The sequence below is a fragment of the Homo sapiens genome, chromosome 21, assembly GCF_000001405.40.
Source record: "Homo sapiens chromosome 21, GRCh38.p14 Primary Assembly".
In the NCBI taxonomy this organism is placed as follows: Eukaryota; Metazoa; Chordata; class Mammalia; order Primates; family Hominidae; genus Homo; species Homo sapiens.
The window spans coordinates 42436969-42457863 of record NC_000021.9 but is presented as its reverse complement, the minus strand read 5'-3'; the positions used below and the strand labels follow the sequence as shown (position 1 = coordinate 42457863).

Below are 20895 nucleotides of genomic sequence, written 5' to 3'. Positions count from 1 at the left end.
GGGCATTGGTACCAGTAGCCTAATATCCCAATCTAATTAAAAAATTAAAAACATGTTATATCAGCTTTCTTGAAGTATATTTTGTAGACAGTAAAACATCCATTTTAAGTGAACAGTTCAATGAGTTTGGACAAATGTAGGCAACCATGTGACCACCTAATATGGTTTGGCTGTGTCCCCACCCAAATCTCATCTTGAATTGTAGCTCCCATAATTCCCACATGTTGGGGAGGGACCTGGTGGGAGATAAGTGAATTGTGGGGGCAGTTTTCCCCATACTGTTCTCGTGGTAGTGAATGAGGCTTGCAAGATCTGATGATTTTTATAAGGGGCTTCTGCTTTCGCTTGGCTCTCATTCTCTGTCTTGCCTGCTGCCATGTATGATGTGCCTTTCGTCTTCTGCCATAATTATAAGGCCTCCCCAGCCATGTGGAACTGTGAGTCCATTAAACCTCTTTCCTTTATAAATTGTCCAGTCTCAGGTATGTCTTTATTAGCAGCGTGAGAACAGACTAATATACCACCCTACAATCAGCACACAGATTCCCGTCAGCCTGAAAATATCTTCGTGCCCATTTGCAATCCATTCCCCTACTCCCAGCATTAAGCGTCTGATGTGCTGCTTTCTGTCACCACAGATTGGATTTGTCTCTAAATAGTTGTATATAAATTGAATCATGCAGTACATCCTCTTTTGCTTCTGGTTTCTTTATGCTACTATAAGTGATGTTTTTATTTTACTTACTGATTGTTCACTGCTAACATAACATTTGTATTCCGCCTCTGTCCCCCTCTCTGCTGTCTTCTCTTCACCTCACGTATTGGCAGAGGAGGTGTTACGTGTTCACTGGCTTATTAGTCCATTGCTCACCACCTTCCACTGAAATATAAGCTCTTTGAGAGTGAGCTTGTATCTGATCCACTGCTGCTTTCCCAGCAGTGTTAATGGCACCCAAACATTCCCTCATAAATGTCTGTTGAGTGGATGACTGAGGCGCCGGACTCCACACTTGAGGGCTGAGGTGAGGAAGGACGAACTCTTCCCAGTGCTGAGCCTGAGGAGGGAGTGTGGGCTGAGGAGGGGGCGTGGGCTGAGGAGGGAGCGTGGGCTGTGGAAGGGCAGACAAGACGGTGAGCTCATGGGTCTCATTGGCGGTCAGGAGAGGGTCCTCTGTAACAGAGGCCTCCAACCCCTGTTGGGAACCAGGCTGCACAACAGGAGATGAGCAGTGGGTGGATGAGTAAGTGAAGCTTCGTCTGTATCTACAGCCACTCCCCATTGCTCTCATTACTGCCTGAGCTCCGCTTCCTGTCAGATGAGTGGTGGCATTAGTCTCATAGGACTGTGAACGCTACTGTGAACTGTGCATGTGAGGGATCTGGGTTGTGAGCTCCTTATGAGAATCTAATGCTTGATTATCTGTCACTGTCTCCCATCACCCCCAGATGGGACTGTCTAGTTGCAGGAAAACAAGCTCAGGGCTCCCACTGATTCTACATTATGGTGAGTTGTATAATTATTTTATTATATATTACAACGTGATAATAGAAATAAAGTGTGCACAATAAATGTAATTGCACTTGAATCATCTCAAAACCATTCCCCACCCCCACCCCACCCTGGTTTGTGGAAAAATTTTCTTCCACGACACTTGTCCCTGGTGCCAAAAGGCTGGGAACTGCTGCTCTACAAGAGGGCCAGCTGCTGCTGGGCTGTGAAACCCACTGAAAAGAAGGACAAATACCAGGTTTTTGGTAATGGGAGGACATTACCAGGGCAGAAATGCCCAATGTGAAGCTCAACTGCACATGTGAATTTGACTGGACTGCAGGGTGCAAAGACGTTTTGACCCAGTGTCACTCTGGGGGTGTGTGAGGAGGTTTCTGAATGAGACGAACATTCGAATCAGGAGACTGTCAAGCAAACGGCCCTCCCCAGGGTGGGTGGGCCTCATCCAATCAGTTGAAGGTCTGAATGGAACAAAAGGCTAAGAGGAAACTCCTCATGTCTGACGGCCTTTGAACTGAGGCATTGGCTTTTTCCTGCCATTGGACTTGAATGAAAACATCGATTCTCTCTGGGTCTCGAGCCTACTGGCCTCCAGACGGGAGGCCAACAGCTCCCGCAGATCGTGGGGCTTCTCAGCTTCTGTAAGAGTGTGAGCCAATGCCCCTCTCTCCTTCCCTCTCCCAGCCTGTATCTGTATGTTTGTATCCGTATGGATGTGGGTCCTGTTTCCCACTGGCTGTTTCTCTGGAGAACTCTGGTTCCTGCCCTCTGTTTTGTTGTTTGTGGCTCTAAGTCACGGTATGTTAAAGTTCAGGTTTAAGAGGATGCGGGCTGCCATGTCTAAACATGTGGGCATAAGTACAAAAATCCTTACGTCATCAGATTGTGTTTCATCATATGGGCTAATTTCTTTCCTCAGGCTAAGCTGCAAGTTCTTGTCTGGAGTCGAAGGACCAATAATATCGCCTTCACCTGCCCCCTCCTGGTCCACTCACCAGGATGCCAGGCGGGACTTTTGCACCACCCTGACTGTGAGGCAATGCCCTGGGGATCCTGCTAAGACACAGCTGCTGACACGGAGACGGGGGTGCCTGAGGCCCTGCATTTGTAACAAGCTTCCAGGCAATGCCTGTAATCCTGGTCCTCGGTCCAGAGTTTGAGAAGCAAAAAAATAAATAATTTATAGGGCCCCTTGCCTCTCCTCAAAGTCTGGTTATATTTTCTAGATAATAAGTGCTATCAGTACCTCGCAAGGAGAACAAAATGGCTCAAGGATAGCTGGAGGCAAAGAAAGTGCAGTGTGTCTTCCAAAATCACTAACTCAAATAAACGGGCTGCCTCTCCGGGGAGGCTCCTGGGAGGAGAGTGTGCCTTCGGTGAGCTCATTCGCAGGCGTTTCTCCTTCGGGATTTACGTTGCTTTCGTGCTATAGCTTCTTTGGAAAATTGCTTGGTTTATTGTCCTAACACAGTTTTGTCTCACTATGGGACACAATGAAAGAGAATGAGTTAATGGTTGAAAGAAATACATTTTGGAGAGAGAAGGAGAAACATGACATTTCCAGATGATTAATTTTTTAATGACTTCTTGGAGAACTTTGTTTGAAGACTTCACCAGGAAGATTGCATGTATACATGTGTGTTTCTTAATCCATTTTTGTGGCCTTAAGTCCTAGGAAAAAATGGTACTGGACAGCCGGAAGTGGCATTTACTTGGAACCACACAGGAAGAAGTACATCATAATTCTGGGAGTTTGCTGTGGCAATTTGCAAAGGCCTTTCACACAGCTGGACCCCTCTCACTTTTCATGAAGAACCCCCCACGCGCCGGCAGACAGCGGCTGCACACACATTCAGGAGATTGCAGGAAATAATTTCCAACAGCAAATGAGACATTAGTTATTCAATGCTGATAAACAACAGCAGCGCTTCATCCGAAGGAATTCCACTGGGATCTGAGTTAAAGCTCAGTTCCGTCCTCTACTCATGGTGACCTCGGACAGAGTCTCTGTGCCTCGGGCCCACCGTTGTAAAATCATGTGGCCTGTCGATGGGTCCACGTCACTTGCAGCATCTTAGTCCTCATTCTGGAGGACACGATGTGCCCTCTTAGCAGTGAGCCCTGGAGGGGCTGACTCGCAGCCGTGTTTACCTATTCCTGTGGTCCAAATGCTCCTGCCAGGGCTGATTCAATTACATCTCTAGCAGTGAACTTCAGCTGGATGGACTGACCTTCCAACCCTGAACTTCAAGGTGAGTGTGTGAAGCATGCCGGCTGTGTCTTGCCTTGGGAGAGTAGGTGGCTCACCCCGGGCGGCTGAGGCGATGAGGCAGGGAGGAGCAGGAGTGGGAACATCTGGTTGGATAGCAGGGCTGGAGAGAGGCGAGAGCTTGGGGGCTCTCTTCAGGTGTGCTCCAGGTGCCAGAGTCGCTGCTGGCCAAGGATCCCGGAAGAGACACAGCTCGGGATGAATCCCTGGAACCAAAAGTCTGTCCAGTGCTCCGCAGGGAGCAGACAGCGTTCCACTTAGTGCCCCTGGCCTGGCTCCACCCACCCGTCTTTCCTAGACCCAGGGACTTGGCCTCCTCTCTCTCCTGACCCCGCCTGCACATGGGCCTCAGCCCTTCTGTCCTTCCATCCTCTGTAGAGAGAATGTTGTTTCCTTTTACAGGAAGAGGCACTGGCCTGAAGCGCACAGCTGTGATGATCCCAGCAGGTCTGTGCAGCAGCTCAGCTGGCCTCTCCCTGCAAACTAACGTTCGTGCCTGCTGCAGGGGTGGGCTGGGGTGGCTCATATCAGCTCAAGAGAGCTGAGTTTTAAATTTTCACGCAGTCTGCAAATCAATTGTCAAAACACTGGCAGCCCAGAATCAGCCCTGGTGCATTTACATCATGGAAACTGGAAAACACAGCAGACACTGCGAGTCAGCCCCTCCAGGGCTCACTGCTAAGAGGGCACGTGTCCTCCAGAATGAGGACTAAGATGCTGCAAGTGACATGGACCCATCGACAGGCCGCATGATTTTACAGCAGTGAGCCCGAGACACAGAGACTGTGTCTGAGGTCACCATGAGTAGAGGACCGAACTGGGCTCCAACTCAGAGCCCCTGGATCCCAGTGGAATTCCTTTGGATGAAGCGCTGTTGTTGATGTTTATCTGCATTGAATAATTAATGTCTCATTTGCTGTTGGAAATTATTTCCTGCAATCTCCTGAATGTGTGTGCAGCCACCATCTGTCGGCCTTGGGGATGAGGGGAGAGGAGAAGCATGAGACAGGGTTAAGGAGAAGCCTCTGTTGAAGAATTATTGTGTCAGGGCTGCTCCCAGCTGGGCTAAAGGACTGGAGTCCAACAGTGTGGAGCCTCGTGGTGTCCACGGTGCACTGCACTTAAATGTTCTAGAATTTGAGTGTGGGGCCAGCCAAGAGGACTACGAGGCTGGACACAGGGCTCAGCTGCCCTCACAGCACAGCCACCACATCACACGGAGGCAGTGAGGTCCGTGCAGGACTTGGTCGCACCTCCGCGTGGCTCCCCCTGCCCAGGCCCACACCTACGTCCAGGGGCAGTGTCCGCAAAGTTCCAGTTCTGCTCGGACTTCCTCCGTAGCAGCATCACACAAGTGTTCAGCTCGAGATGTGCACCGATTCCTTTCCAACCTTCGTCTCCATAAAGGTCTGTCTGCTCAGCAGGAGTGCACATGTGCGACTCCAGACTCCTAACACACCTGTGCCCATTCGCGCTATGCCTGAGTGCCCTGGTGGGAGCCCTGAGGCCAGGGTTCCATGCAGACCTGTGAAGGGAATACATCGGTACTTCTCAGCTGGGGATGATCCTGCTCCCCCAGGGACATTTGGCAGCATGTGGAGACATCTTTGTTTATCACAACTGGTGGGCTGGGGTGAGGGACGTACTGCTGCTTCAGTAGGGGAGGGCCAGGGATGCTGCTGGACATCCCACAATGCACAGGGCGTCCTCTGACAAAGATGTATCTGGCCCCAAATGTCAATAGTGCCAAGGCTGGGAAATCCTGGCCTATAGGAGCAGAGAAGCTTTGCAGGGGGGTCACTGGTCCCACTGGACTTGGGGCTGCCTGGAAGCCCGGCACACGGTCACTATTGCAACCCCTGGGAAGGAGTGACAGACAAGACGATGAGAGACCGCAACAACAGGACAAGGCAGACACGACTGACATGAATTGTGCAGAGGACGCCTGAGCTGGGATTCAGGGGCAGCAAGGTGGGCTGGCGGCCAGGAGGGCTTCCTGGAGGGGGTGGGCTGGAACTGGGCGGCATGAGAAGCACAGAGCTTTCCCAGCTTACCTTTTACTTTTTAACTCTATGATAGTTTTTATTTTTATTTATTTATTTATTTTGAGATGGAGTCTCACTCTGCCGCCCAGACTGGAGTGCAGTGGTGTGATCTCGGCCCACTGCAACCTCCGCCTCCCAGGTTCAAGTGATTCTCCTGCCTCAGCCTCCTGAGTAGCTGGGATTACAGGTGCCTGCCACCATGCCTGGCTAATTTTTGTATTTTTAGTAGAGATAGGGTTTCACCACATTGGCCAGGCTGGTCTCGAACTCCTGACCTCAAGTGATCCACCTGCCTTGGCCTCCCAAGTGCTGGGATTATAGGCGTGAGCCACTGCGCCCGGCCCATGATTTCTTTTTTTTTAAATATTTAAATCTTTGATGTTTTTTTTTGGTATGAGGAATGAGGAGTGATTCCAACCTTCTTTTCCCCAAATGTGATCCAGTTGTCCCAGTGTCATTTATTTAATCACCTTCCTTCCCCCACTGCTATGACTGCTCCCTTTACTGTATATACCTACATAAAAGCAGGTACTTACCATAGGTCCTGCCCTCAGGTCAAGCGACCTCGATGTTACTGTACTTTAGTTGTCCTGCACATCCCTTCTGAACCACCTCTCCCCTATGGTGCATAAGCTCTGGGTCTGGGAGTGATGGGTCAGGAGCCACCCATGTTCTGATGAACCCCAGTTCTGGGAAGGCCTCTAAGATTTCCAGTTATCTGCTGTTCCTGTGGAAGAGCAGGTGCTTACCATAGGTTTAAATATGGTATGAGGATATGAGGATATAAAAAATACCATGTTTATAGGGTTAGGGTTAGGGTCCCTCCCCCAACACTGGGGATTACAATTCAACATGAGATTTGGGTGGGGACACAGAACCAAACCATATCAGTCTCCAACATAGCTTTTCAGGGGGACACAATTCAGCCCATGGTAGTGGTTCTCACCATGTCCTGTGGGCCATCCAGCCCTAAATTCCTCCGCAGCCACTCCCAGGCTCCTGGGGCCTTCTTGGGATTTGTGGCTGTGCATTCGATGCTGCCATTTTCCTTTCTTCCGACTTCTGATCCTTGCAGAATTGTTGGCTGGTTGAATTTGGGTGGGGGAGGGAGCATTCAACTCAGCCCATAATATGCACCAATATGAATCACGTTTAAAAAAGTCTCAAATTTGGTTCTAAAATAAGATGTACTTTGGTGGACGGTTATGATAGCTCTTTCTTCTTAGACGAGTGCAGCAGTGTTTGCCAGGGCCAGTGCTTGGCTTGGTGGTCCCAGGCCTGTCCTTAAGCTCTTCAGCACCACAGGCTGCAGCCTGGAGACAGGCACTGGCTTAGGCCTTTGGCCCCCTTGGCTGCCCAGCTTGAGGCCGGCTCCGCCCCCTTCTCACCACTTTCCATCTTTCCAAAGAACCAGGTCTCGGAGGGGAACATTAAGCTGCAAAACAACATTGTCATCCGCTCAGCCTCAGGGAACGCTGGTAGAATTCCCTTTCAGGCTTGTTTTTTTCTTTTTCTTTTTTTTTTTTTTTGAGACGGAGTCTTGCTCTGTCGCCAGGCTGGAGTGCAGTGGCGCGATCTCGGCTTGCTCCAACCTCCGCCTCCCTGGTTCAAGCGATTCCCCTGCCTCAGCCTCCTGAGTAGCTGGAACTACAGGTATGCGCCACCACGCCTGGCTACGTTTTTGTATTGTAGTAGAGACGGGGTTTCACCATGTTGGCCAGGGTGGTGTCGATCTCCTGGCCTCGTGATCTGCCCGCCTTGGCCTCCCAAAGTGCCAGGATTACAGGCATGAGTCACCATGCCTGGCCCAGGCTTGTTTTTTTTTTCAAGCACACAGTGAGGAAGTCAACAAGAGAATGTGGGTGGGGCATGGGTTGGGATGGCGTTGGTGACAGGACGTCCACTTCCAGACGGTGTCAGCAGGGGTCAGACTTGGCTCACAAACACCAAAGCGACCCACCCAGGGAGAGGAAGGAAAAAAGAGTGTCTTTTGTTTTCTTTTTTTGGGATTTCCTATTGGTTCATAGAGTAGACAGTTTACACCCAATCATGATAATCCCACCAGGCATTTCCGTCTCTGCCCTTTTCCAGCCCAGCTCTGTCCGCAAGGCTCAGTCCATACAGCGAATGGTTCCTTCTGGAGGAACAGAACCACTGAACTGGGGTCCTCTGCCTTGGGGGTGGAATGAGGGTCTGACAGAACCAGAAGCATAGAATATCGAGAAAATGCTATTTCTTGCACACTAGATCTGGAGATCTGGAGATCTGAGTTTCAAACCCATCTCATTCTCCTTGCAAAACCTGTGAGCAGCCCAGCAGGATGAGAGGGGAATTACCTGTGTCTGGCTTTGCCCAGGGTGGAGGACCTGGAAGCTTCACCCCTGAGAAGGTGAATCCAGAGATTCATTACAGACCACCTGAACACGTGACTGTGATTTCAATGCCATACCTTGACTTGCAGCACTTTAATTCATCATCATGATTAGCGAGCGTGGCACTGTGGTATCCAGGAGGGACTTGGACCCAACCACACACTTGCCGAGGAGAAAGAACAACCACCCAGGTGCCCAGCGGTGGGGTGTATTTGTTGCAGGACGTACTGCCCAGCCACCTACATCCCAGTGAATCCATCTCTTCTCTAGTCGGTATCTGCTGGGATGCGTCTAGAACAATCTCCCTGAAGACGTCATTTCGGTATGGCCTGGACTCGAAGCAGGCCTGTGAGTGGGGTGCATGCTCTGCTCTCTGTGGCTGTGTCAACTTCAAACTTCTTTATGTTTGGACACAGAAAAACTACATCATTAGTGAAATAAAACAAGGGACAGACAGATGCGTCTTTTTCTCAGGAGGTCGTGTTTGATTGACTAAAACAGCAAGGAAACTTTTATTGGGTCTGGCCTCCTGTGCATTCTACACAATGTGGGCCGTTTTTGTCACAGCCCGGGGTGTTCACCATCTTTATTTCTACAAGAGCTCCCTTTGTGTTCTGCCCTCCACTTGCCTGGGTGCTCACAGGGGAGGCTGAGGGTGCAGCATGGGTCCTTCCTGCCCTGTCTCTGCATTCACACTATAAAAGGCACTCACAGAGCCACCACCACAGCCCCAAACTGCAATCATGAAATAACACCTGCACTGGATCAGGGGGCTAGAAGAGATGAAAGACCGATGGACTGTCACTACACCGTGCTGGGATCTCTGCCTGCAGCATGAGGCACCACATGTGTGGGCTGTGGGAGCAGGTGTGACCTGTGGGCTGGGGCATGAGACTCCCCACTGGGGAGACCCCATCCCCTGCTGGACCAGCTTCCTCAGCATCACCATCATGGACAGACTCCACTTTGCTCGTGGCCCTTCTTTTGGGGCCCCATTAAATCGGGGGAGCCTACTTCTCCCACTGGCAAAGTCCTCTTCTCTCCTCTACGTGATCAGAAACAAGAATAGGAGAAGCCAAAAAAGGCCTGCAAGGGGAGTGTCTCAAATCCCTATGTCCGAGGCCCTGTACGGGCAGCTCCGCTGTGCTTGGAAGGATTGGGGTATGTTATGGCAGGCTACAGGATAACCCCCAAAGATGTTCATGTCCTAATCCCCGGGACCTGGGAATATGCAACTTTATGTGGCAAAAGGGACTTTGCATGTGTGGTTAAGGCTCTTGAGATGAGAATTGATCCTGGGTTATTGGGTGGGCCCAGTGTCAACACAAGGGCCCTTGTAGGAGGGAGGCAGGAGAGTCAGAAGCAGAAGGCGATGTGGCTGTGAAGGCAGAGACTGAGAGAGCTTGGAGGCTGCTACGCCGCTGTACTTGAGGAGGGAGGATGCAGGTGGCCTCTAAAAGTGAGAAAAGGCAAGGATCCTCCCCTGGAGGCTCCAGAAGAAACATAGCCTGCTGAGAAAATGCCAACCTCCAGAACCGTAGGAGAGTCAGCGTGTGTGTGTGTGCATGTGAGCGTGTGTGTGCCTGTGTGTGCATGTGTGTTTGTGTGTGTGCATTGCATGTGTATGCCTTTGTGTGCATGTGTGCAAGTGTGTGCATGTGTTTGTGTGCTCATGTGTGCATGTATGCATGCACGCGTTTGTATGTGTATGTGTGTTTGCATGCTTGTGTACCTGCGTGTGTGTGCATGTGCGTGTGCATGTGTGTGCGCATGTGTATGTGCACGTGTTTGTGTGTGTGCATGCTCGTGTGTGCCTGTCTTTGTATGCATATGTGCATGTGTGTATGTGCCTGTGTGTGTGTGTGTGTGTGTGTGTGTGTAAAGTTTGTGTTCTTTCCATGACCCCCAGGTTTGTGGTCATTGGTTACAGCAACCACAGAGACATAGTAACATGAATGTTGACAGCACGGAGCAGCAACCCAGTTTTGACCTGGTCGATGGTTTTCTGGGACCATTTTATTGACTATTACACCTGTTTTAGCCCATGTGGATATGGCTAAAGAGTGATGGACCCAGAAAAAGAAAAAACGATTGGGAATTTAATGATTAGACCATGGAAAATGAAGTGGTTAGATCCTTCGTGTGTGGTGAGTCTTTAATTCCTGGAAGTTAGAGTCCCGGGCAGTTGTGTCCCCAGCTGCAGACACTCGGTGTACATGCTGCAGGGCGGCATCCTCACCCAGCCACCTGCCCTGTGCTCCCCGCAGCTGGGCTGGTGGACGATGGGTCCACAGATGGGAGTTACAAAGGCGAAAGCCGGAGGGAAATATTCCGGGATATAAAAGTGCGTCTCGTGCTTCTACAAATCACATTGGGTGAGACTAAGACGCCTCTGGAAACAGCAGCATCTCCCAGCCTCTGCACATGGTTTCTGCCTCTCCACTCTGAGGTTATGACAACATCACCGTGGCTCTCAGTTGCCTGAGATCCAGTTCCTCCAGTTAAATGCTGCGTTCGCCCCGTGGGTCAGGGTCTTCACCGGTGGGTTCACCAACTCCCATTTTCCTTCCTCTTTATTTTCTTCACAGAAGCACATGCCCAGGGAAGGGATCTGGAACAGAGTTTTAAATCACTTGTTAATATCTTATAGCAAGTCCATCAATTTCAGACTAGCTCCAAAGCCAACTGTCAGGCACACCTCTACTTTGGAGGGTCTGCGACTGCCCAGGCTGGCACTGCCACCATTGAATGGCACCAACATCTGCCCTGGCGGTGCCCCGTGGGGGATGTCCCCTAGCCAGGGGACACTGGGTAATTCCGGAGACATTTCTGATTGTCACAACTGAGGATGGAGGTGCTGCCGACACCTAGCAGGTAGAGGTCCTACAAGGTGGTACATCCTACAATGAGTAGAACAGCCCCCACCACAAAGGTCTGCAGGCTGAGGTGGAGATTGCCATCCACCACTTAAGGAGTGACTCATATTCTCATATTCAGCATCACAAAAAGACACAGACATTGAGTTTTCAGACCCAAAAGAAAAGCACAAAGTGAACCTTTAGACCTCCATCCCTTCATCTGTGAAATGGATGTGTGAGAACAGAGCTTTGTGGTGAAGCCTTTTTTGTTTTTGTCTTTTCTTTTCTTTCTTTCCTTCCTCTTTCTAATGTCTAGAAATTCCTCAGGCAGATGAAATTTACAAAAATGCCAACTGGCAGGGGGGTCTGAGTGAGGCTGGTGTTGACCCTAGGGTGATTCTTTCCTCACGCTTGCAGAGGCTGTGGGCGAGGGGCGGTGATGGGCTGGTCGGGGAGGGTCCTGAGTGCTCCCTTTCCAGCTGCCCTGATTTGGGGGCCCATCATTTGGTAGAGCCCCCCCTTTGTATTTTCTGATATGCATGAGCAAGTCCAGCTTATTTTGGGGTAGGGGCAGGGTGAACGCCACGTGACCAGCATAAGAAAGTCCAGGAGTTTGGAAGTTCAAGATTGGCATCTATGGAAGGGGGTGAAGGGTCCAAGGAGTGGGTGGAGCTTTGGCCACAAAGGCTCATGGGTTTGAGGAACTGTCAGCAGCTGGTGTGTGCAGTGCTGCCACCCTTGGTTACGTGGGCCCCCAGGAGCGCCTGGGGCTGGAGGCTTGGTATGTGTATATGGGACTGTGGGAAGCGGGGCAGGGACAGGAGGAATGCATCAGAGCGCATGTGTGGGAGACCCATTTGCAGAAGCAAGAGCAACATTTTGGGAGCAGGTGGTGCCGGGGCTGCCCCGGACAGTCCCCAGGAAAATCCATGCAGACCTCTACCAGTGTGGCCCAGGGGGGTTGAGCTGCCCTATTTGGACAATGCTCACCTGGTGGCTCAAGAATCCAGGGCGCTCGGAAATGTCTGGATCATAATTGGGACACACCACCCTGGAGACATTTTGCAGGGGAAGCATGTTTCTACTCAGGTGCAGAGGAAAATGGAGCAAGAAAGGGAGATTCGGGTGTCTGATGCCTAATTGCTGAGTGACAATGACCCACGGCAGGCATGCTCTTCATGTGCGTAACCTCTCATCTGGCTGCTGAGGCAGGCGTAGCTAGAGAGCTAAGCCCTCCTGCAGGCACCTGGCTGGTGTCACTGGGCTGGGCCCGGGAGTTGGGCTCCTCTGAAGCCCCTGACCTCTTGGGGGGACTCAGCAACCCCCACTGCTGCCCACAACTTATGGCAAACAAGCTGTGGCCAGTGTGGTCCTGTGGCAGTGCTATGTGAAGAAACCAGGTCAGGGCCTCAAGCACCTCCGATGACAGGCATTGTCTATGCTGCACGTGCTGCCTGGGCACTGACCAGTGGACTGATGAATTTCATAAAAAGGTCAGGACTGTGGTGAGTCCAGCCTTGAGTAGATCTGCAGGGAAGGGCTGGGACTGGGGTGGGATCTGCACTCCTGAGTTTGCCTGCCTCAATTCACCCATGGACTGGACATCACCCTCTGGCTTTGCTGAGTGATAATCAAGGTTGTCCAAGATGTCACGTGTGCGTTATCCTCTGTTTGTCATTCACAAGGCCCTTGCCAGAGCCTGAGCACTCTGGCAGCTACAACCAGCTCAAGCTTCTTCCATGCTGGGTGACTCCAAGGGCAAGAGGATCAAGGGGCTCCTTTTCATCCATCAGCCGCCCTGCCCCAGGTCCCCAGAAGAGGCCAGAATCGAGTCCCACAGTCGTTTCTTCCCTCCTCATCTAAACTGCTTACTCCTTCCTGGACCGTCTGTTTTTCTACGAGAGCTGCAAGGGGTCATGGCATGAGCTGACTGGTAAAAAGTTGGCAAGTGGCCAATGATGATGAGGTTGACTGACCTATCCACCAGCCCCAGCCCGAAGTCACCCTTCGCATAAGAGCCGGTGGGCACAGTCTCCGGGGGCACGTGGATCCTGGTGGCCCTGGGTCAGCCGGACACTTGTTTTCATTCCGAGAAGTGGATGAGATAAACCTGTGTCTTCGGGATGCTTGATTTTGTGGCCCAAAGAGCCAAGAGTGGGCGCGTACCTTTCTCACGAGTTGGGCAAAATCCCCACATTCCCGGGGCGGCAGCCCGAGCAGTGGCCGCGTGCAGGAGTCCAGAGTGGAGCCGTGACTCACAATTAGGATGACACCCGCTGTGGAAAACAAGAACACCTCCAGGTCAAAGCAGCCCCAGAGAGCACCTTTTATTAGACTGGGGTCCCCAAAGTGGTGGGGGGCAGAGCTATCTCAGAGTGCCCCGAAGCCTGGCGAGACCCCCGGGCTAGAAGTAGTGTGGCTGGTAACCGCTCAGTGATGCCTGCGTCCCACCCTCGCTCATGGATTCCTCTGCACGCAGCAGCTGCCCACCAGCCTCAGGGAGGCCTAGGAAGTGAGCTGAGCCACCCCCTGTGGTCGCTGGCTGCCTGGGCCCCGTCAGCCACAGACTGGGATGTAGCGGTGGCTGACGCCCAAGCCAGACCTGATTCACTTTAGAAAGGTCAGCCGGTTATTTTGTCACACGAGCCTGCTACGACTCCTGCTTTAGATAAGAACACCTGGAGACCACAGGCCGAGTGGGTCTCCCTCAGGAGACACGCTTGTCCCTGCCAGCTCAGGGGAAGGCGTGGGAAGTCAGCGCTTCTGTGCATGCTTCATCCAGGACAAAGCAACACGGGAGGGTTAGGAGACCCGTGTGATGGGTCAGGGAAGGGGGCGCCACCTGGAAGTTGGTTGTTCTTTCTCTCTCTGTCTCTTTTGTTTCCCAGGAAGCTGACTCAAATCCCTTGGACATGGGTGGATTGTGTGACCCTGCTGGCCTGGGTCCCATCAGCATTCAGTCCCAGGATGGGGGGTTCCAGGGCCTGGGCGGCAGGGGAGTGTGTGTCTGTGCACCCGGTTACTGCACCAGCAGCAGCAGTGATGAAAACTTTGTTGCTGGAGAATGGTGGGGGGCGGGCAGGGGAAGTGGGGGCATTCATAGGTTCAGAAAATCGGCCAATTTCCATCTCAGAGATCATTCCCCTCCCATCAGCACTCAGTCCCAGGATGGGGGGTCCCAGGGCCTGGGCGGCAGGGGAGTGTGTGTCTGTGCACCCGGTTACTGCAGCAGCAGCAGCAGTGATGAAAACTTTGTTGCTGGAGAATGGGGGCGGGGGCAGGCAGGAGAAGTAGGGGCATTCATAGGTTCAGAAAATTGGCCAATTTCCATCTCAGAGATAATTCCCCAAGCCCCAGGGGCTGTTCATACTGAGGATGGTGAGGCACTTACTGTCCTGTGGACAGGTGTTGACGATTTGCACCATGCTCGCCGTGCACCTGTCCATGTACTCCTGGTAGCTCTCGGCCGGCATGAGGGCGGACAGGGGAAACGCGGGCCTGGAAGGATGAGAAGGAGAGGCTGCTGCCCTGGCACTTTCGTAGGGATTAGGAAGGCTCAGCTGCAGTTAGCTGGGGAAGGAGAACGTTCTTCCAGGATGGCTCTGCCTCAAGGCAGGCTCATGGTCAACAGGCAGGCTCCAGTTTTGTGCTGAAAACTGGCAAAGCACTGACAGTCAATCTCCAGCACACATTCTTACTCAACACCAGGAGGGCTCTGTGATGGCAGAGTCAGACATGGGTGGAGAATGACAAAGACTCTCTCCTTGACTAAACTCCAGTCCAGCTCCTCTGAACCTTCTTCTCAATGAGGTCTTGACCCTTGGGCTTCTGTGTCTGTTCTTGCAGAGTGAGTTTAGCAAGAACCTCCTACCTTCGACATCTGATCAAGTTCCTTATCCTCTACCACCCCCCAGGTGATGTCTGATCACCTTGGCCTGCCTTCAGCAAGAGTCTCCATTTAGGTCAGTTTAGCAAGAATGACCCACCTTCTCAGGAATTTTCCATCCACTGACCCCCACCCTGCTCTGTGGCTATAACTCCCCTCTTTTCCTTGTATTAGGAGTTGAGCCCCACCTCTCTCCCCTGCTGCAAAACCCCACTGCAGTGGTCCCTCTTGAATAAAGTCTTTCTTACCATTTTAACAGTGTCATGAAATTTTTCTTTAACAATAACTGGAAAAGCCCCAGTGGCAGAGAACTTTAGAACAGCATACCTGTAATCAGTGTCAATGTTGAAATTTGCCTCTTTCAGCTCTTCCAGGCTCATGAGGGTTGGGGTGGTTTTGCCAGCTTCCCATTTTGTCCATTCAAAGATTCCAGGTTCCACTCGTATCTTGATTTTTTTCTCCAGTTTGAGTTCTGGATTCAACAGAATACAAGTGTTTATCATCCTCAACATCCACCCTGACTTTGCATAAATAAGTCTCCTTTTAGATCTCAGACCGTCACACACACGTCTAAATCATGCCTTTTAAACAGTGTGATTTTCTTCTTGGCAAATACCGTTCTGTGATTAGGCATAGCTGTGCTATTTCTGAAGTCAAAACTGACGAGCAGTGGGAAGGTATCAGAGGAGTGATGGCCCCCTGTGTGCCAGGAAGGGCCAGAGTCTTCCAGGAGCTGGTGAGTGTCCCAGGCAGCAGGCTTAGGCTGGGGCTCACCTGATCACCCAGCACAGCTCCACCGTGAAACCAGCCCACCGGCTGCATCCTCCAACATGGCAGATCCAATGATCAATGGACAAGATGTGACCCATCATGAAGAATGTTGGCCTCATGAGGCACTTTCCTGATAAACACTTACACAGACGGGGCAAGAGGTGAAGAATGGAAGGAGCCATCTTCTGGAATATTCTGACTCCCTGCAACTCACATTTCCCAGGCATTTTATATTTTGATTAAAGGAAGAGCCATAAAGTAAGGCCATCTCTTTTTGAGTGGAAAAAAAGACCTGAATGTTTTCACTGGGAATGGAGAAGATGTCATTGAACTCAAATGCTGGACATAAAATCAGTTCCTCAAATGTGTTTTAGGTCCATGGAAGGAGCTCTTTCATCAAGCATGCTTAGAAAAGAGAGTTAAAGCAAGTTAATCAGGCCCCCAAGTTCTCCCCAATCAACCAGGCCCCCAAGTCCTCCTTCATCAACCAGACCTCCAAGTCCTCCCCCATCAACCAGGCCCCCGAGTCCTCCCCCATCAACCAGGCTCCCGAGTCCTCCCCCATCCAACCAGGCCCCCGAGTCCTCCTCCATCAACCAGGCCCCTGAGTCCTCCCCCATCAACCAGGCCCCCGAGTCCTCCTTCATCAACCAGGCCCCCAAGTCCTCCTCCATCAACCAGGTCCCCGAGTCCTCCCCCATCAACTGGGCCCCCAAGTCCTCCCTGATAAACCAGGCCCCCGAAATCTCCCCCAAGCCTGTGAAGAGCTCATTTCCATTGTGAACAAATAAGATGAAGGAACAGTGTGAGAGCTTCCCAGACAGGTGTGGCCATGGGTCTCTTTCCTTTGAAGACCTCTTGCAGGCCAGTGTTTTGTGGACTTGGCTGTGAAATGGTTCATGTGGACATTCTCTGACATTGAATTTAAACAAAGTTGAGCACCTTAGCATCTCAGACACCATCTGATAAGCAGGTTGATCATGTCTGAGGCCTTGTAAAGAAGACTGGGTGTCCTTGTTTTTCTGAATTAACAGAGGATTTATAAACCCATGCCCTTTAAACAGGCATCATCACCATCATCATCACCATCATCATCATCTGCACTTAAAGGTCACTGAGAGATCACATTAAAGATTTTGACATTATTGCTGGCAAAAGACATTTTTGAAAGCTTTTTATATGCAAGTGACCCAAATAATAGAAGTAAAAAAATCCACCAAAAATGGGAATAAGTGTGTTAATGAGGAACCACGAACAATGACAAAAAAAAGATAAAATTATGAAGTGTTTTCAGTCAGTCGTATTCTTTTATTACAAAGGCTGGCCAAGAGATTCCTTTTTTATTCGTTGTTGTTATCGTGGTGAGAGAGGTTGGGTAGGGAAAGAAAGACGAAGGTTTTCACTAGAAGGGAAACTTGCAGGCTGAGGCAGTAAAAGCCCCAGTGAGAGGAGACTGTTGTTGCTGGCCTGGCAGGCACAGGCGACCTGGGGACTCTCGCACGGCCTGCTAGTGGGCGGCCAGCCAGTGGCAGAAACCAAAGTGATTCTGAAACTTAGTGGAAGAACAGCAGCATCTTAGGTGGTTTCCAACAAAATGCGCTCATTGAGTGGTGGGGTGCAAAGACCAGCGACAGGGGAGAAGAGGGGAAACTGAGGCACAGGCCTGTTCCCCTCTTGTCATATATTTGTGTGCATTTCTTGCTTGGTTCACATCTTATGATTATAGGTGTTTGGTTAATTATAAATACATTGATCCTAAACAACCAGGGATGAAATTGCTATATATCAATTTTGCTTTATTCCATCATAGTTATTAAGAGCCACCCTCACACTGAAGGGTCCCCAGATACTCGGAGACCCTGCCCCTTCACATTTCTGATCTTGCCACCCTCGTCCCTCCCAAAGCGCAGAGCTGGAAAGGCCACGTCCTGTTTCTCAGGCCTTCCTGAAAACACGAAGGCTGGACCTGCTGCTGTGAGCATGGGAACAGGGAGAGGCGGACATCGCGGGACCCTGTCACCTGGGCTGGGGTCATGGCTCTCAAAGATCACAGCCTCCTCCTCTGCGGTCTGTGACTCAGCCCCCAAGTGAAACCCCAAGGGGTGTATGTGGTGTGTGTGGTGTGTGTGTGGGTGTGTGTTGTGTGTGTGGTGTGTGGGTGTGTGTGGGGTGTGGTGTGTGTGTGGATGTGTGGTGTGTGTCGTGTGTGTGGTGTGTGTATGTGTGTGGTGTGTGTGAGGTGTGTGGTGTGTGTGTGGTATGTGTGTTCAGCGTGTTGTATGTTATGTGTGTGGTGTGTGTGTTGTGTGTTGTGTGTGGGTGTGTGTGGGTGTAGGTGGTGTGTGTGGTGTGTGGTGTGTGTGTGGTGTGTGGTGTGTATGTGTAGTGTGTGTGGGTGTGTGTGGTGTGTGTGGGTGTGTGTGGTGTGTGGGTGTGCATGGTGTGTGTGTGGGTGTGTGTAGTGTGTGTGTGGCGTGTGGTGTGTGTGTGGTGTGTGTGGATGTGTGTGCTGTGTATGTGCATGCCAGCGTTGTGAGGAGAGACAAGGATTGTGGAAGCCTTGCTTGCCCTCGGGTGGAGCTGCCTCTGGCCTCCGGCTACACTGCCGTCAGGCCTTTGGGGATTCGCGAGTCCTTTCGTGGTTTGGTCAAAGAAGCTGATATTGTTCTTTGATCTTCATCTGGCTCATTGAGAGCCCAGAGGTGCCGTGATGCAATCAACATGGGAACCTCCAAGGCAAAGTGAAGTAAGTCTGCATTTCTGTCTTGTGACCCGAGATGCCGTGCAGAGGGGTGGGGTCCTGTGCCACAGTTGGGTGGGAAATGAAAGGATGAAGCTGCAAGACTGAGGTGGGCAGAAAGTGTCTTGACATTTTTAAGTGTGTGGAAGGTGGATCGTGGATGCTCCATGCTGATACAATGGATTTCTGTGCCTCGTGAAACTAGGACTGGACTATGGGATGGAAAGTTCATGAGAGCACAGGACAGGAATGATGAGCCTGAGAGGCTCCGGGGTGGAACCAGGTCCGCTCCTGGCTGGGGCTTCCTGGGCACCTGGATTTGAAGGTGCTCTGAGGGAGCGTCTCTGACGGGGCGAAGGGGATCTGAGGACATGGGAACCGGCAATGCACATGTGTGCATTGAATCCACTGCTGTCCCAACGGCTCCTCCTGTGAAGGTCCCGGCCCCTCGTGGCCCCGGCTCTGATGTGGCCCCATGTGCAAGTCCCAGCAAGACCACCATCTGCGGGATGGCTCCTCCATGGCCCCTCCATTCCTGCCCACCTCCTGCAGGACGTGGCTTCCTCCCTGCCTTGAGCATCCATTCCTTCCACCTGGGACTTGTCATTCTAGCCACTGCAGCCCCGCCATGGTGCAGTGCCAAACTCTGCTGTCTCCAAGCAGCCCCCTCGTGGACCTTGAGCCTCACTCAGATCACCTCCTTTCTCCTGCACTCACCTCCCCCGTGCTCGGCCTCCTCGCTGACCCAGCTGAAAGTCCATGGGCACGGTCACCCCCTCACTATGCCCTCAAGTCTTCCTGTCCCCTCTGGCTCCACCGTACTCACAGCTCAACCCTGCCCTTACCTGCATCCCACTCTCCACCTACTCCCGGTCTAAGCTGGAAGAGACCCCCTAGCCCGGCTGATGCATCTCCATTTAAACTCATGCTCATGAACTGTGGGTGGGCTCTGAGTGCTGCCCAGCGGTCACTCTGCATCTCCCAGCCCATGTCCTGGGCCCCTCTGCCTGACAGCCATTCATTCCTTCGGCGCACCCCAAACTTCCCACAGTCCCTGCCCCCACTTTCCGCTGGTGGCCTTACTTCCTAGGTCTCTGAGAAAGTCGAGGCAAGCCCTGTCCCCCACATTTGCCCTCCTGCTGCATCTGTGTCTGTGTGCTCTGCCCTCTCCCTTGTCACCATGGAGGCGACATGCTCTCTCGCATGTCACCCATGCTCCTGGCCACGGCCAGTCCCTGCCTGGGGACCGAGATCTTATCCCTCTTCCCAGACAAAGAGGAGCAGGACAGGGTTCAGGCTGAAGGCAGAGCCCAGGCCTCTGGAACAAGCTGCTCTCCTATGGGCAGGAACTTTCTTCTTCCCGTAGATGGGAGCTGCAGAAGGGTCTGCCCAGGACTTCCTGACACACATCAGCCCTTGAGGACGCTGGACAGCTCCACTGGCCCAGTGCATTGCCCTGGGAAGGGTCATGCAATTCAGACTTACAAGGAACCGTAGCAGTTCCCAGCTCTCAAGGTTTTCGAATGCCGCTTTCCAGGTGTATTTTAAAAATGCCTAGCTGACGGAGGCCAAAGAGAAACGGTATGAGGACAGGCCCTGGCATTTAGCTACACCAGCCCCTACTGGTCTGACGGTCCTGGTATTCCAGACACGCTCACGGACCCAGCATGCCTGCCAGCATCCTTGGAGGGCTGGCTCGTACTTGCCTGATGACTTTGGTGTGGGCATTCATTGCCAGTCATCCAATTCCACCTCCACTCCCTTCCCACTCCCCTTGGAGAATAGCCCCAAGGTCAAGGCAGTAGGAGAGGCTCACCGAGGTTCTCACTGACCTTCCAGGATGAGTTTGGCCGTCTGCACACAGCGGAGGGCTGGGGAGGCAAACACAGAGCTGATTCTGATACCACTGTCCAGTAGCGCGTCCCCTGGAAAATAGTGAAAAAGGCAGAAAATGCCCCTTCATAATTCTAGCCTCTGATGGCAGATGAGCCATGTGCTCCCTGTGGTAGGCAGGGTCCTCAAAGGGCCCCGGGTTTCCACCCCCTGGTGTGACACACCCTGCACAGCCTCCAAGTATGGGTGGAACCCATGACCAGAATGATCTGTTGCTCCTGGGACAATTACATCCTATGGCAGAAGGGAAGGGATCCAAGGTGGGGCTGACAAGTTGGTGAGCCCATTAAAAGCAGTGATTATCTCCAGCCAGTCATGGAAAAAAGTCAGAGAAGTGTGAAGTGAGAAGGATTCAGCAAAACATTCTCCATTGCTGGCTGCAAAGATGGAGGGGACCACATGGCAAGGAATGTGGGCAGCCTCTACTAGGGCTGGGAGCAGCCCCCAGCTAACAGCCAGCAAGGAACAGACCTCAGTCCTCCCACTGCAAGGATCTGAATTTGGCCAACAGCAGAATGAGTCTGGAAGGAGACTTGAGCTCCCAATGAAAA

General features: G+C 51.9%; 1 protein-coding gene across 15 annotated transcripts in view, besides 4 other annotated features; it reads right to left on the bottom strand.

The window, feature by feature from the left end:
• UBASH3A (ubiquitin associated and SH3 domain containing A) overlaps window positions 10180-20895 on the bottom strand; it is a 43783-nt gene continuing 33067 nt past the window's right edge. For 4 of the 15 annotated variants that reach the window (XM_047440831.1, XM_047440833.1, XM_047440835.1 and 1 more), the window contains 5 exons: window positions 20268-20376; window positions 15268-15412; window positions 14446-14552; window positions 13221-13330; window positions 10180-10807 (listed from right to left, as the gene is read on the bottom strand). In XM_047440831.1, coding sequence (XP_047296787.1) covers window positions 10670-10807; window positions 13221-13330; window positions 14446-14552; window positions 15268-15412; window positions 20268-20376 — 609 coding nt within the window. In that variant the 3' untranslated portion in view covers window positions 10180-10669. The other 11 variants (NM_018961.4, NM_001001895.3, XM_047440838.1 and 8 more) reach the window with 9 other exon arrangements.
• Window positions 17217-17426: an enhancer, noted in NCBI's record as "active region_18517". NCBI's record gives its function as "activates an Ori minimal core promoter by ATAC-STARR-seq in GM12878 lymphoblastoid cells {active_cell/tissue: GM12878}" and the evidence as "EXISTENCE:reporter gene assay evidence [ECO:0000049][PMID:35858748]".
• Window positions 17737-17926: a silencer, noted in NCBI's record as "silent region_13343". NCBI's record gives its function as "represses an Ori minimal core promoter by ATAC-STARR-seq in GM12878 lymphoblastoid cells {active_cell/tissue: GM12878}" and the evidence as "EXISTENCE:reporter gene assay evidence [ECO:0000049][PMID:35858748]".
• Window positions 18702-19388: an enhancer, noted in NCBI's record as "H3K4me1 hESC enhancer chr21:43858586-43859272 (GRCh37/hg19 assembly coordinates)". NCBI's record gives its function as "activates a minimal SCP1, AML or CMV promoter by ChIP-STARR-seq in naive H9 embryonic stem cells {active_cell/tissue: H9 hESC(naive)}" and the evidence as "EXISTENCE:reporter gene assay evidence [ECO:0000049][PMID:30033119]".
• Window positions 19389-20076: an enhancer, noted in NCBI's record as "H3K4me1 hESC enhancer chr21:43857898-43858585 (GRCh37/hg19 assembly coordinates)". NCBI's record gives its function as "activates a minimal SCP1, AML or CMV promoter by ChIP-STARR-seq in naive H9 embryonic stem cells {active_cell/tissue: H9 hESC(naive)}" and the evidence as "EXISTENCE:reporter gene assay evidence [ECO:0000049][PMID:30033119]".